The sequence below is a fragment of the Homo sapiens genome, chromosome 4, assembly GCF_000001405.40.
Source record: "Homo sapiens chromosome 4, GRCh38.p14 Primary Assembly".
NCBI classification, from domain to species: domain Eukaryota; kingdom Metazoa; phylum Chordata; class Mammalia; order Primates; family Hominidae; genus Homo; species Homo sapiens.
The window spans coordinates 1,278,176-1,293,022 of NC_000004.12; the positions used below are offsets into that span (position 1 = coordinate 1,278,176).

General features: G+C 51.3%; 1 protein-coding gene and 2 long non-coding RNA genes across 10 annotated transcripts in view, besides 3 other annotated features; 2 read left to right on the forward strand and 1 right to left on the reverse strand.

The window, feature by feature from the left end:
• Nucleotides 1-8,188: 8,188 nt before the first annotated feature.
• LOC105374347 (uncharacterized) lies at nucleotides 8,189-11,396 on the reverse strand. Its single transcript, XR_925046.3, has 3 exons — nucleotides 10,710-11,396; nucleotides 8,951-9,033; nucleotides 8,189-8,273 (listed from the first exon to the last, which is right to left on the reverse strand). It is a non-coding gene; the product is annotated as an uncharacterized LOC105374347 (long non-coding RNA).
• On the forward strand, nucleotides 9,428-10,119 carry LOC105374346 (uncharacterized). The gene is made up of 2 exons (XR_925043.3): nucleotides 9,428-9,548; nucleotides 9,851-10,119. It is a non-coding gene; the product is annotated as an uncharacterized LOC105374346 (long non-coding RNA).
• Nucleotides 11,237-11,646: a silencer, noted in NCBI's record as "silent region_15126". NCBI's record gives its function as "represses an Ori minimal core promoter by ATAC-STARR-seq in GM12878 lymphoblastoid cells {active_cell/tissue: GM12878}" and the evidence as "EXISTENCE:reporter gene assay evidence [ECO:0000049][PMID:35858748]".
• MAEA (macrophage erythroblast attacher, E3 ubiquitin ligase) overlaps nucleotides 11,716-14,847 on the forward strand; it is a 50,247-nt gene continuing 47,115 nt past the window's right edge. For all 8 annotated transcript variants that reach the window (NR_123716.2, NM_001017405.3, NM_005882.5 and 5 more), the window contains exon 1: nucleotides 11,716-11,807. Coding sequence is in view for 7 of the 8 variants with exons in the window: in NM_001017405.3 (NP_001017405.1) it covers nucleotides 11,739-11,807 (69 nt within the window). In the remaining variant the exon portion in view is untranslated. The remainder of the gene's footprint in view (nucleotides 11,808-14,847) is intronic.
• Nucleotides 11,747-12,026: a silencer, noted in NCBI's record as "silent region_15127". NCBI's record gives its function as "represses an Ori minimal core promoter by ATAC-STARR-seq in GM12878 lymphoblastoid cells {active_cell/tissue: GM12878}" and the evidence as "EXISTENCE:reporter gene assay evidence [ECO:0000049][PMID:35858748]".
• Nucleotides 13,115-13,297: a silencer, noted in NCBI's record as "fragment chr4:1285078-1285260 (GRCh37/hg19 assembly coordinates)". NCBI's record gives its function as "represses an EF-1alpha promoter that drives an FKBP-Casp9 reporter gene in an ReSE screen in HepG2 liver carcinoma cells {active_cell/tissue: HepG2}" and the evidence as "EXISTENCE:reporter gene assay evidence [ECO:0000049][PMID:32094911]".

A 14,847-nucleotide genomic window follows, 5' to 3' on the forward strand; every position in this document is an offset into this window, starting at 1 on the left:
TTCCACATTTTGGCTGAATAGTGCTGCTATTACATGTGTAAACTTTTGTTGGAATGCCAATTTTCAGCTCTTTGGGGTATCTACGTAGGAGTGAAATTGCTGACTATGCTAACTCTGTTTAACTTTTGGGAACCTGCCAAAGTACCTTCCACAGCAAGTGCATTCATTTTGCACCTACCAGCAAAGTAGGAGGTTCCCACTTCCCACAGTCTCCTTGACGCTGGCCACTTGGATTTGGCTTCCTGGCAGCTATGAAGCCATGTCTCAGTGTCACGATTCACCTTACCTGGTGACTCATGGTGGTGAGCCTCTTTCAGTGACGAATTGGTCATCTGTAAGTCTTCTCAGCAGAAATGTGTACTCAGTGCTTTGTCCATTTCTTAAGGGGTTGTCTTTTTGTTGTTGAGTTGTAAACACTATATATTCTGTCTCCAAGTGTCTTATCTAATATGATTTGCAAATATTTTCTCCCATTCTGTAGGTTGTCTTTTTGCTTTCTTTGTAATGTCCTTTGATGCACAAACATTTCTAGTTTTGATGAAGTACGATCTTTCTGTTTTTCATTGTGTTGCTTGTACCTTTGGTGTCATAGCTGAGGATCCTTTGCCAATTGCGCCCTGGACTTCCCAAGTCATGCTCTGCCCTGGCCTCTGCGTCCTCGCTCCTCCCTGGTCCTCTGCGTCCTCGCTCCTCCCTGGTCCTCTGCGTCCTCGCTCCTCCCTGGTCCTCTGCGTCCTCGCTCCTCCCTGGTCCTCTGCGTCCTCGCTCCTCCCTGGTCCTCTGCGTCCTCGCTCCTCCCTGGTCCTCTGCGTCCTCGCTCCTCCCTGGTCCTCTGCGTCCTCGCTCCTCCCTGGTCCTCTGCGTCCTCGCTCCTCCCTGGTCCTCTGCGTCCTCGCTCCTCCCTGGTCCTCTGCGTCCTCGCTCCTCCCTGGTCCTCTGCGTCCTCGCTCCTCCCTGGTCCTCTGCGTCCTCGCTCCTCCCTGGTCCTCTGCGTCCTCGCTCCTCCCTGGTCCTCTGCGTCCTCGCTCCTCCCTGGTCCTCTGCGTCCTCGCTCCTCCCTGGTCCTCTGCGTCCTCGCTCCTCCCTGGTCCTCTGCGTCCTCGCTCCTCCCTGGTCAAGGGCTGCATCCTTGCGTTCTGTGAGCTCTGCCCGTTGGGAGCATCCATGCTGATGTGCAGGGGCCGTGCAGCACTGCATTCTTCTTGCCTTCTCTGTTCTGTTTAGTACAACCACCCCAGCAGGTCTCCAGTTCCTGCCAGGTTAGTGTGGATGGCCCAGCACCATCTCCTCTCCATCTTGTTGGCTATCCTCTCTTGTTCCTCACAACCCCGCCAGGGTCGCGGCTCAGGAGCTCTGCCGTGTGAAGTGTGCTCAGCAGTTCTCCTCACATGTCTACGCAAAATCTCTGGCTCCCTGTGTGTCTGAGCCCAACAGACACACTGAGCACAGGAGTTGGCTCTCAGCTCCTCCCAGCTTGCCGTGACTGAGCCCTGCCGTCCTGTGGCACCGCCACGGAGACCACAGTGTCCAACTGTCCAACCTTTACGTAATTGGCATCCCAGGAGGAGAAGCAAGAGTGAATGGGGCAGGAAAAGATCATTAAAGAAATCGTGGCTGACATAAAAAAGGATGAGTTCATGTCCTTTGTAGGGACGCGTGGATGAAGCTGGAAACCATCATTCTGAGCAAACTATCGCAAGGACAGAAAACCAAACACCATGTGTTCTCACTCATAGGTGGGAATTGAACAATGAGATCACTTGGACACAGGGTGGGGAACATCACACACCGGGGCCTGTCGTGGGGTGAGGGGGATGGGGCAGGGATAGCATTAGGAGATATACCTAATGTAAATGACGAGTTAATGGGTGCAGCACACCAACATGGCACATGTATACATATGTAACAAACCTGCATGTTGTGCACATGTACCCCAGAACTTAAAGTATAATAAATTAAAATTAAAAAAAAGAAATCGTAACTGGAACTTTTCCCAATTTAATTCAAGAAACAAATCTGCAGATACGGCCGGGCAAGGCGGCTCACACCTCTAATCCCAGCACTTTGGGAGGCCAAAGCGGGTGGATCACTTGAGGTCAGGAGTTTGACACCAGCCTGATCAACATGGTGAAACCTTGTCTCTACTAAAAATACAAAAATTAGCCAGGTGTGGTGGTGCACATGGGTAGTGCCCTACGAACACAGAATTCTGAGGGGTCCACGAGGTGTGGAAGGGCAGCAAGGTTTCCAGTAAATACAAGTAAGGGTGTCACATCCAGGACGGAGTGAGCAGGGGCCCCAAAGCCCAGAGAGGCCATGCCTTCTGTTTGAACCAGAACATGCCATAAACACAGAAGAAACGGGAGTGCTAAGAAACACATACCCCATCATGTACTTCTTACGCATGGGACTTCCTCACATCAGAACTGCGTGTGCTTGCAATCCCAGCTACTCAGGAGGCTGAGACAGGAGAACTGCTTGAACCCAGGAGACAGAGTTTGCAGTGAGCAGAGATTGCACCACTGCACTCCAGCCTTGGCAAAAGTGCGAGACTCTGTCTCAAAAAAACCCCAAATCTTGCATATACAAGATGGTCAACGGTGAGAGACATCCCATCTGCACCTGTTCCCGGCACCCCAGCTGCATAGAGCATGGGTAGTTCCCCACGAACACAGAATTCTGAGGGGTCCATGAGGTGTGGAAGGACAGCAAGGTTTCCAGTGGGTGCAAGTGAGGGTGTCACATCCAGGACGGAGTGAGCAGTGGCCCCAAAGTCCAGAGAGGCCATGCCTTCTGTTTGAACCAGAACATGCTATAAACACAAAAGAAACAGGGGAGTGCCAAGAAACACATACCCCATCATGTACTTCTTACGCATGGGACTTCCTCACGTTAGAACTGCGTGTGCTGAACATGGTGGACAGGAGGAAAGATGAGGCAACCCACAGTTCCTTTTCCCTCCAGACACCCCTTACTTGTCAGTAAAAGTAGAGGGCATTGGTAAAATATGTGCACATCAGAAATGAAATCACAGCTGCATTAGCTTCATGCAGCACTCCATGAAGAAGAACAAAACAGGTCTGTGCAATCGAGCTGGGAAGCACAGGCCTCGTGAGTTTGGTGACGCAGAGTTCGAACTAAAGCACTTACGTTTGCATTTAAAACTGGCGTCAGACAAATGATGGTGAACACTATGATTTGCTTATGTTTGCACTTAAAACTGGCGTTGGACAGGCTGGGTGCGGTGGCTCGCGCCTGTAATCCCAGCACTTTGGGAGGCTGAGGCGGGCGGATCACAAGGTCAGGAGATCAAGACCATCCTGGCTAACACGGGTGAAACCCCCTCTCTACTAAAAATACAAAAATTAGCCGGGCATAGTTGGCGGGCGCCTGTAGTCCCAGCTACTCAGGAGGCTGAGGCAGAAGAATCGCCTGAACCCAGGAGGTGGAGGGTGCAGTGAGCCACGATTGCACCATTGCACTCCAGCCTGGGTGACAGAGCAAGACTCCGTCTCAAAAATAATAATAATAAATAAAAATAAAAATAAAAAATAAAACTAGCGTTAGGTGACGATGAACACTACAATTCGTGTGAATAACTGCTTATTTTTCTTTACTTAGAATGACATTAAATGATGAATTTTAAAAATGCCATGATGTGGGCCAGGCGCGGTGACTCACGCCTGTAATCCCAGCACTTTGGGAGGCTGAGGTGGGTGGATCACACGGTCAAGAGATTGAGACCATCCTGACCAACATGGTGAAACCCCATCTCTACTAAAAACAAAACAAAACAAAAAAACAAAAATTAGCCGGGTGTGGTGGTGGGCGCCTGTAATCCCAGCTACTCGGGAGGCTGAGGCAGGAGAATCACTTGAATCCGGGAGGCAGAGGTTGCCGTGAGCCGAGAGCACGCCACTGCACTCCAGCCTGGCGACAGAGTGAGACTCCAACTCAAAAAATAAATAAATAAGATAAAATAAAATAAAATAAATGCCATGATGCAGAGGCTGCAGTGAGCTGAGATTGTGCCACTGCACTCCAGCCTGGGCGACAGAGCAAGACTCCATCTCAAAAAAAACCCAAAAAAACCCACTATGATGGAAACAGTCAACAGAGGGTGGAGACGACCTGTTGAATGGGAGAAAATATTTGCAAACTATTCATCCAACAGGGGACTAAAATCCAGAGTATACAAGGAACTCAAGCAACAATAAAAAAAAAAATCCCACTAGAAAGTGGCCTGAGGGCACTTTTAGCCCCCAAAATAGAAATGTCTATTTTGGGAATAAACATATCTCAAAAGAAGACAGACAAACAGCCAACAGGTGTATGAAACAATGCTCAGCACCTCTAAGCATCGGGGAAGGGCAAGTCACCACCACGACGAGACGTCATCTTACCCCAGTTACACGGGCTCTTATTAGAGAGACAAAAAATAACAGATGCTGCTGAAGATGCTGAGGAAAGGGAGCTCTCACACACGGTGGGTGGGCGTGTACATTAGTGACGGCCGTACCGGTTAACAGTGAGAACGGTGGGTGGGCGTGTATTTTAGTGACGGCTGTACCGGTTAACAGTGGGAACGGTGGGTGGGCGTGTACATTAGTGATGGCCGTACAGGTTAACAGTGAGAATGGTGGGTGGGCGTGTACATTAGTGATGGCTGTACTGGTTAACTGTGGGAACGGTGGGTGGGTGTGTACAGTAGTGATGGCTGTACTGGTTAACCGTGGGAACAGCGGGTGGGCGTGTACATTAGTGACGGCCGTACCGGTTAACAGAACGGTGGTCGTGTACATTAGTGACGGCTGTACTGGTTAACTGTGGGAATGGTGGGTGGACATGTACAGTAGTGACGGCTGTACCAGTTAACAGAACGGTGGGCATGTACATTAGTGACAGCTGTACCGGTTAACAGTGAGAACAGTGAGTGTGTACATTAGTGACGGCTGTACCGGTTAACCGTGGGAACGGTGGGTGGGTGTGTACAGTAGTGACGGCTAACCGTGGGAATGGGTGGGCGTGTACATTAGTGACAGCTGTACCGGTTAACAGTGAGAACAGTGAGTGTGTACATTAGTGACGGCTGTACTGGTTAACCGTGGGAATGGTGGGTGGGTGTGTACAGTAGTGACGGCTAACCGTGGGAATGGGTGGGCGTGTACATTAGTGACAGCTGTACCGGTTAACAGTGAGAACAGTGAGTGTGTACATTAGTGACGGCTGTACCGGTTAACTGTGGGAACGGTGGGTGGGTGTGTACAGTAGTGATGGCTGTACTGGTTAACCGTGGGAACAGTGGGTGGGCGTGTACATTAGTGACGGTCGTACTGGTTAACAGAACGGTGGGCATGTACATTAGTGACAGCTGTACTGGTTAACTGTGGGAATGGTGGGTGGACATGTACAGTAGTGACGGCTGTACCGGTTAACAGAACGGTGGGCATGTACATTAGTGACAGCTGTACCGGTTAACAGTGAGAACGGTGAGTGTGTACATTAGTGACGGCTGTACCGGTTAACCGTGGGAACGGTGGGTGGGTGTGTACAATAGTGATGGCTGTACTGGTTAACCGTGGGAACGGTGGGTGGGCGTGTACATTAGTGATGGCTGTACCGGTTAACAGTGGGAAGTCCCTCCACCAACAGTGGAATTTCTCAAAAAACTAAAAGTAGAACTACCATCCAGCAATTCCACTACTGGGTATTTATCCAGAGGAAAAGATGCTTGGCCCAACCGAAGCTACCTCAAGCACTCACCTTGGCTGGGCCCCACCTGGGAGCAGGGAGGCCACCGTCCAGCACTGGCAGGTGTCCGGCCTCCTCCTCCAGGGAGCCGGGAGGCCTTTACTGGAGACATTTACAAACAGATGTTGTGAAGATAACAATTGTGTGGCTTGAGTCGATTCCACCTCTACAGCTAACCATAGGAACTAATTATAGTTTGTATTACTAAATACTTTTAAGGGAAAATCAGATGCTATTTTCTTACCAACAAAACAGTCAGTGCTCAAGCCCAGGAGTTTGAGACCAGCCTGGGCAACATGGTGAAACTCTGTCTCTGCAAAAAAACTTTAAAAATTAGCTAGGCATGATGGCATATGCCTGTAGTCCCAGCTACTCAGGAGGCTGAAGTGAGAGGATCGGTTGAGCCCGGGAGGTAGAGCCTGTAGTGAGCTGTGATCGTGCCACTGCACTACAGCCTGAGTGACAGAGCAAGACTCTGTCTCAATAAATAAATAAATAAATAAAAACCAACAGAACAGTGAACTGTGTAAAATCTTGTTACCTGATGTGAGGTACATGTTTCATTCATTCAAGAATTAAGTTTTTCAGCAGGTGTTAACCACCTCCTAAGAGATGTGTGGATCAAAATAACGACAGGGGCAACTCCAGCGCAGAAAACGGATCTGGCTGGGTGAGAGGAAGGGCTGTGTCGTGCAGCTTGGGGCAGAGTCACCCCCTCGAACTTGAGGGGGTTACCTTTAAGTAGCAGAGCCCTGACGTCCGTCCATCAGTGGAGATAAGAAGGGCCCCAGGATGTGGACCCCCTGCAGCATGTGATGTGAGCTGGCTATGACAGTGCGTCCCTGAGCCACAGGTCAGGTCCTCCCACACGGCCATGCAGGAGGCACCCAGCACCATCCGTCTCTGGGCTGCTTTTCTCTGCGTGCTCCTGGCCCACCCACACAAGGGAACCACGTGTGCCCCACAGCTCATCCCTGGCATAGCTGATTAGTCCAGATGGACAGCCAACCCACACTGGGCAAGACTTTGGAGCCTAAGATTTTGGAAGTTTGAACCAAGAGACGCAGAACATGGCAGCTGTTGAATGCTATACTACGACAAAAAGTATATTTGGTCTTGGTCCCTGGTTCCGGTCACCAAGTGTCTAAAACCCTTGCGATTTCCTGAGTGTGGGAGCGTCTTCTTTCTTCATAAGGAACTCCTTCCCACCACACCTGAGTTTATGTTAATGAAGTGACTCTGGGTGGGGCCTCCAGATATCACTAGAAAGACCCGGAGATTGGTTGGCAGGAATTCTCAGCCCCTCTCCCACTCCACCTCCACCTCTGGGGATGAGGGGGGCTGGGGATTGAGATATGAAAATGTGTGAATAATGAGATTCAGGAGAGCCTCCTGGCTGGTGGATGCCCCGAAGTGCTGAGCGGCTGCCGCGCAGAGAAGGCTTGGGAGCTCCTCGCCCCACCATGCCCGATGCACTCCCGTTAGCTATTCCTGAGCTGTGTCCTTCATAATAAGCTGGGAAGCATTAAGTGTTTCCTGAGCTCTGTGAGTCATTCTAGCAAATTATTGAACCTGAGGAAGGGTTTGTGGGAGCCCCAAATGTGTCATCTGCCTTGTGGGTGGCCTGGGCACCCCATGTGCAGCCGTCACCTGGAGTGGGGACAGCCTTGTGGAACGGAGCCCTTGGCCTGTGGGGTCTGTGCTAACTCTGCGAGTGAGTGTGAATGGGGTTGGATTGTAGGATAGCCAGTTGGTGGCAGAGTCTGACAGCTGGACAATTTCAAGTTATATAAACCAAAAATAAGATACTAAGCTCCCCCAACTGACTGAATGGAACCCCCTACCCCCACCTTCAGCCAAGGGGGTTTCAAAGAAACCTGAAAAATCAGTTCAGGACACGATGGCGGCGCATGACTTTTCTTGGTCACTTGTCAGCCAGAGACCCCCAGCCAGCGACACCCTTGCTCAGGCCCAGGTTTGCCACAGGAGATGCCCATTCACTTGGCCCATCATGTCATGCCAGGCCCGCACTCCAGCGTTTGCGGCTGTTCCGACTGTGCACTCAGCCCCCAGTGGGAGGGGGTGTGAGCGAGTGAGTGCGGGGTCCAGCCAACGGTTCCAAGTGTCAGCACAGACGCAGGCTCCATGCAGGGCTTGTGGCTGGACCAGGCATGTTGCAAGCCACTCCCATGGTGGACTCCGGCGTCCAGACAAGGGGAACACGGTGGCGCCCAGGTAGGGGTGCTGTGATCCTGAAGCCCCAGAGGGGGTGTTACAGCATGCTAATTAGCTCTTTTAGTCTGCATCCTGATGGACAGTGGTGCGTCAACAGCTCTGTCAGCCGCTTGCCCCGCATCAGCCCATGGCTCCAGGGCTGGCTCAGTCCCACTGCTGCTTCTGTCACATGGGGTGGCTGCCCTCTGCTGGTGAAGGGCAAAGGGTTATGGAGTTACAGCCTTCTCTGTATTCACATTTGGTGCATCCTGAGCTCTTGTCCCACGTCCAAGAAGAATGATGATACACTGACAATTGAAGGGTGAGGAGGATGGAGAAGAATTTTATTGAGTGACAAAGCAGCTCTCAGTGGAGCAGGGATGTGAGGGTGGTCCCCCACCTGAAGTCGGATGGTTTCTCTCTCCATGTGGCTGGGTTTGGGGCTTTCATGGGCTCAGAGTGCACACTGATTGGTTTGTGAGGATGCAAAAATGGCTAAAACAAAGGCATCACTCAAAGGTGGGGACAACAGTGTAAAAAGCAATTAGGGGCTGGGTGCGGTGGCTCACGCCTGTAATCCTAGCACTTTGGGAGGCTGAGGTGGGTGGATCACAAGGTCAGGAGATTGACACCATCCTGGCTAACACGGTGAAACCCCATCTCTACTAAAAATACAAAAAAAATTAGCTGGGCGTGGTGGCGGGTGCCTGTAGTCCCAGCTACTCGGGAGGCTGAGGCAGGAGAATGGCGTGAACCTGGGAGGCAGAGCTTGCAGTAAGCCGAGATCGTGCCACTGCACTCCAGCCTGGGAGACAGAGCGAGACTCCATCTCAAAAAAAAAAAAAACCAAAAAAACAACCAACCAACAAACAAAAAGCCAATTAGGGAAGGATAGGTATATGTAAAATAGGTGAAGGGTGGGGACCAATCAGAGGAAAGCATGCCAGGCAGGAAGACAGGTTCCCAATCTAGTCCATGGATTTACCTGGGACTTGTAGGTCGGCTTTAAACTGTCTTCGGCTTGAAGGTCGGGTTTCACTGGGTAACTGCTCGGTCTGCCTCCTGCCACTATTAACGTGAAGGGAGAGTTGGACATGCCTCAGTATCCCCTCCTCCCTTTCGAGTTCAGGCACAAAACTTACCAGCATTAACATTAAAACAGAGATCTTAAGACTGACAAAACAGACTCTGTAGCAATAAGATGCCAAATTCCAACTTGACTCTAGTAGAGCATCACATGACAGATAGCTGGCCTTGAAGGAAATCAAAGTGTTTTACCCCAAAATATATTTCTTTGACATATTTTGAAAGGGCCCTGCAAAGCTGTCTCTTGTGGGAGAAATTTACATTCTGTAGGGAATCCCTTGCCCTTCCTTTCCGGGTCTTTTCTGATTCTGAAGAAGTTAATGGTTAACTGAGAGTCTAGCAGCTCTTGTTTTTTTTTTTTTTTTTTTTTTTTTTTAGGAGTCTCGCTGTGTCACCCAGGCTGGAGTGCAGTGGTGTGATCTTGGCTTACTGCAACCTCTGCCTCCCAGGTTCAAGTGATTCTCCTGCCTCAGCCTCCCAAGTACCTGGGACTACAGGTGAGTGCCACCACATCCAGCTAATTTTTGTATTTTTAGTAGAGACAGGGTTTTACCATGTTGGCCAGGATAGTCTTGATCTCTGACCTCGTGATCCGCCCGCCTCGGCCTCCCAAAGTGCTGGGATTACAGGCGTGAGCCACAGCACCCGGCCAAGTCTAGCAGCTTTTTAAGATCTAGATATGAAACATTTGCCATCTATTGCTTCTAATGGTGGCCACCTATGAGGCTTCATCTATGTAATAAGAACGTTGGTCTCCACAACCCCTTTTAACCCAGATGCTCCTTTCTCTCGATTCCAGATCTTTAGATAAGCACTCTTTCAACCAAATGCCAATCAGAAAATCTTTGAATCCACCTGTGAGCTGGAAGCCCCGCTGTGCTTTGTGTTGTCCTGCCTTTTCGGACCAATGTAAATCTCACATGTACTGATTGATGCCTACATCTCCTTAAAACGTATAAAATCAAGCTGTAACCCAACCACCTTGGGCATGTGTTCTGAGGACCTCTTGAGGCTGTGTCACTGGTCATGATCCTTAACCTTGGCAACATAAACTTCTAAACTGATTGAGATCTGTCTCAGACACTTTTTGGTTTACAAAAGGACTAATTCAAATACAGTTTTATCTTCCAACATAAGAAAACCTAGAATGAATGACTCAAAGGTTGTAGAGGGTTAAACAACCTCTCCAACGTGCAAACCTCTGCCTTATAATTCCTAAGTATTTCTGACTGTAGATGGTACTAGGATAGGATCATTTTACCATGGAAATGAAACCCGTGTCCTTTCCTTTGGGTTAATCTTGAATCCCTGGTGAAGTGAAGGCAGTCTCTAAGAGGAGTGCAGTCCATCCAACTGCTGCAGTGCTCCTGTGTACTACTGGGACCATCCCGGAGAGTGGCAGACACGATGCGAACCGTGAAAGGACGCAAAGAGTACAGAGTGCATGCTTCCATCTCTATAGGAAGGTCAGGAACGCTGTTACGGGGAGCAGGGTTAGAATGATGGGGATATAGCCCGGGAAGGGGCAGAGGAGCTTTCTGTGCCACGGGAAATGTCCTAAATCTCAACCAGGACACGGTTAGATAAAAGTGCAAATATGGGTGAAAATTCATTAAAGCTGTATAGTTAAGATTTGTGCACCTCACTGTAAAACTTACTTCAAATGTCTAAAAGACTGGAGTCTGCAGCCACACACTTGAGGAATAACACTTTCCTTAGTCCCAACTCCTGTTTAAGTAAGACAGAGAAAGATTCCACAGTGCGGGTCGGATGTCTTGCGGCTGTAACATGTAGCAGCCTCCAAGCGGAGGTTCTCCCTTCATCGCTGTGTCACCTTAGATGTTTTTCCTTTGTTTAAACACCAAATATTTTAAAAGTTGTTTAGAAATGTGTTATGTGAAACACAAGGTGGTTTAATTGGGACGTCATTTCCTAATTAATAAAATCTAATTTCAGTTTTATTTTGGAAAGGAGGGAGACGGGTGGTGTTTGAAAGGCTGAGAATGTGAAGTGGCTGAAATGAAGGCAGCGCACGACCTGGATGCCAGCGCTGCCCGCCCTGCAAGGAGAGGGCGGAGAGGCCACACGCTTCTCATGCTTCGGGAGTTTCTGTCCATAAATCAGTTTTAGGTACTGGGCCTTTCCTCTTCCGTTGGGAAGTCGGAGGTTCCACATCAGGATTCCAGCAGCTGTAAATCGGTCAAAATAAGGCCAAAGAAAAATAGCTGGCTACAGGCGCATGCGGCCAGGCGTTTTGTTGGCGTTGCCCTTGGTACCGCAGGCACGAGGGACCCACAGGGGACCACCCCGCGGGAGCCCCAAGTAACTGGACGGACGCCAAGTCCCCCAGCCCGCTCGGCCCCAGCTCCACCCGCCCGGGCCGCAGCCCGCACCCCATCGGCCCGCCCCGGGCCAGGAGCATCCCCAGCTCCGGCGTCTGCGGCCTGAACCCGGTAGCGAATTCAAGGTGGAAACCGCCAGCCGGGGCTATCGTTGATTGGCTGAACGAGAGGAAACCCGGCAGTGATTGGTTCGCGCCTTCTTCCGCCTCCGGCCGACTGGGCGGATACGATTGGTGCAGGGGCATCGGCCCGCCCCCATCCTGCTCCGGCCGGCGCGTGGCGTCATTTCCCGGCGTGCAGCGCGCTCGCGCGTCCCCCGCCCGCTAATGTTTTGGCCGCTTCAAGATGGCGGTGCAGGAGTCGGCGGCTCAGTTGTCCATGACCCTGAAGGTCCAGGAGTACCCGACCCTCAAGGTGGGCGCCTGCGCCGCGCAGGCTGAGGGCAGCGAAGGCGTCTCCAGCCAGTGCCCTCGGGCCGCGAGGGGCCGCCCCGGGAGGGCCAGCGGCGAGGGCGGCGGGAGCTGGGCGCGGCCTCGCGGGGCCGTGCGGGCTTCTCAGGGGCGCCCGGTCCGCGCCGGGCAGGTGTGGCGGGGGCGGCGGCTTTGGCCCTGCCAGGCGCCCGACTGTGGCCCCTCTGCTTGAAGAGCTGCGTGAGCCGAGCCAGCGACGACTCTGGCAGCGCTAAGGGTGGCGAATTTGGGGCTGGGGTGGAAGCCGGAGTTTGCGGGGCGTGGGGTCTCTGGCGCCCAGGCAGACGGAGTGCGCGGCGTGCCCAGCCAGTGCCCGGCCGCCCTCCCGGGAGCCCAGGGCTGGGAGGTGCCGGCTGCGCCGGTCGCTAGTTAGGAACTGTAGGGAGAAACCTCACGGCCTGATGGCACCCAGCGACCTTTTTGATGGGCGTCACCAAACCTGAAATACAGCTCTTGCCGTCCGGCTGCCGGTTGCGTGACCTTGGGTGGTCACCTAGCCACGTCGCACTTCTTAGAATGAAATTTGTGCTCCTAGTAGAAGGAGCCGATACTTGTTCTTTACCTAGTTAGTAGAGGATTTGATATGAAGCACCTGGGAAGGAATTCCTTAAAAGATCAAGGTCATAGCTTTCCTAGAGCTGCGGCTGAGCTTCGTGGTTCTGTGTTGCCTTCCTGGAGAGCTGCGTAGTTTCTCTCTCCTCCCAGAGCGCCCTGGTGTTCACGTCCGTCTGAGGACGGACGGTGTGGCGACAGGTGTGGAGGATGCAGTATGGCCAGGTTGCTGTGCGTTCCCCCAGCCCCAGGGCAGTTCAGCGAAGGGCTGAAGAGCACAGGCTGTGAGCCATCCTGCTGGGGTGTGAATCAGGCTTCTCTGTATTCGTCCTTACTGGGAGACATCAGGGCCCGGTTGGTGACTGTTTATTCTTGTCAGGTTTAAGCAGTGGTAGCGCCTGTGTCACCTCAGGGTGAAATGAGTGACCACGTATTGTTTCAAACAGTGCCTAGCATTCATTAAAAGGTCCCTGCTACAGTTAGCGCTGCTGAAGTCAGGCTGTACCCTGCTGTAGCTGGTCTTCATAGGAAAGCAGAAGCAAGCTTCTCCTCCTCTTTATTAACTAGCGGTTTATTTCATATTTTTAAAAAGAAACGGGGTTTCACTGTTGCCTAGGGTGGTTTTGGATTCCAGGACTTAAGCGATCCTCCTGCCTTTTGACCTCCCAAAGCGCTGGGCTGACAGGTGTGAGCCACGCGCCCGCCACACTAATGGTTTCGCAGTGGGGTTTCATGGTGCTTGTGTGTCCAGCACTTCTTTTGATCAAGGAAGGGAGGGCAATGTTGCTGACGTTACCAAAGGTCTAGCCTCTTGCTAGATCCCTCCAAGATGTAGGTGGTTGGTTTTTAATACTCAGTGACATTGGTGGATCTCTGTTGGTTTAGAGATGGAGACCCTGCAGCTGAGAGAAGTCTATACAAGGACATTGTGGTGATATTAGTAGGGAGTCCTAACCACTGACCACTTTGTCTCACGCAGTGCACCTCCAGGCCTGTCATTTCAGCTAACACACAAGAAGGTTTGAAGATCAGAACCGTGGTGGTTTGTCACTTCTGGTACTGGCTGGTGAATGTGGGAAACACTAGATAGGAAAAGTTTCCAGAAATCCTTTCATTGTGTATTGAAGGAACTAGGAAGGGAGATGGAAGGTCTCCGGAAAGGATTCTTCTTCAGGTCTTCTGCTGTTTTGTAATCGTGAATGTAATTTGTATTCCAGAGTGATTGCATAGCTTCTGATTAAAATAGTCATGCAGATAGTCATACAGGTAAAGAAATATTATAGTGTCATAATTTCTCTGTTGACACTTGTGTCACTACTGAGTTAAAACTTTTTTTCATAGAAGTTTTCAGGAGTGATTCCTAGTGGATAATGGAGGTGTTTTGCTGGGAAACTAGGGATCCTTGATTTAGAAGCATTTATTGGTATAGAACTAAACAGAACATGCTGAGCTCACAGCTCAAGAGCTGCACTCTTCAGTTTCCAGGAGGGGCCAGTGCAGATGTCAGAGAAGGGACCGAGGGCTGCAGGACCGGGGTTGTGGAAGGTGGGGGGTGGATGTTCTGCTTCTCTAGTCTGAGAGCAAGTCCTCCTGCAGGGTGGTAGCAGCTGGCATGCTCTGGACTGGATCTTCACCTGGTAATAGTTAAACTGCTTTCCTGCCATGTGAGTCCTCCACAGACTCACAGGGGATTCCTTTCTCTTCAGAGGGCTTGGTAGCCCTAGGTGGGTTTCAGCAGTAACACTTGGGATGTCTGCTTCCTCACAGCGTCAGGGCGGCTGGTGGGGCTCCTGGGTGCCTGGCAGGTACTTATTTTTCTATTTTCCTGGTGAAGTGGGAAGAGAATGGAACAGACGTGAATTGCTGCAGCCAACACGCACTGACCTTGGGCACCTCTGTCGTCATGAGCTTCTATTTCCACCAAAGGGGTGGACCGGCCTGCGAACGTTTGGGCTGGAGGAGCCTTTGTCGGTGGTGGGGGCTGTGCAGTCTAGGATGTCTAGCAGCATCCCTGGTGTCTGCCTGCCAGATGCCAAGAGCATGCCCCCAAAATGTCTTCAGACATTGCTAGATGTGCCCTGGGGGCATGCACACACCCCTGAGAATTGCTGGGCTGGATCCTGCTTTAAGGGACTTGTTTCTTCCTCTTACCAAACGGAGGTGTGGCTCATGAGGACTCAGCCTTGCGTCCTGGCTGTGGCTGTGTCTTTTTGCTGTCAAATGCTGTGAACGCCGTCCGGTGTAGGGTGGTGGGTAATGCCTTGTGGGGGAGGGGAAAGATGAATAACTCACCATCTTTTTTTTTTTTTTTTTTCTTTTTTGAGACGGAGTCTCACTCTGTTGCCCAGGCTGGAGCGCGGTGGCACAATCTCAGCTCACTGCAACCTCTGCCTCCCAGATTCAAGCAATTCTCCTACCTCAGCCTCCCGAGT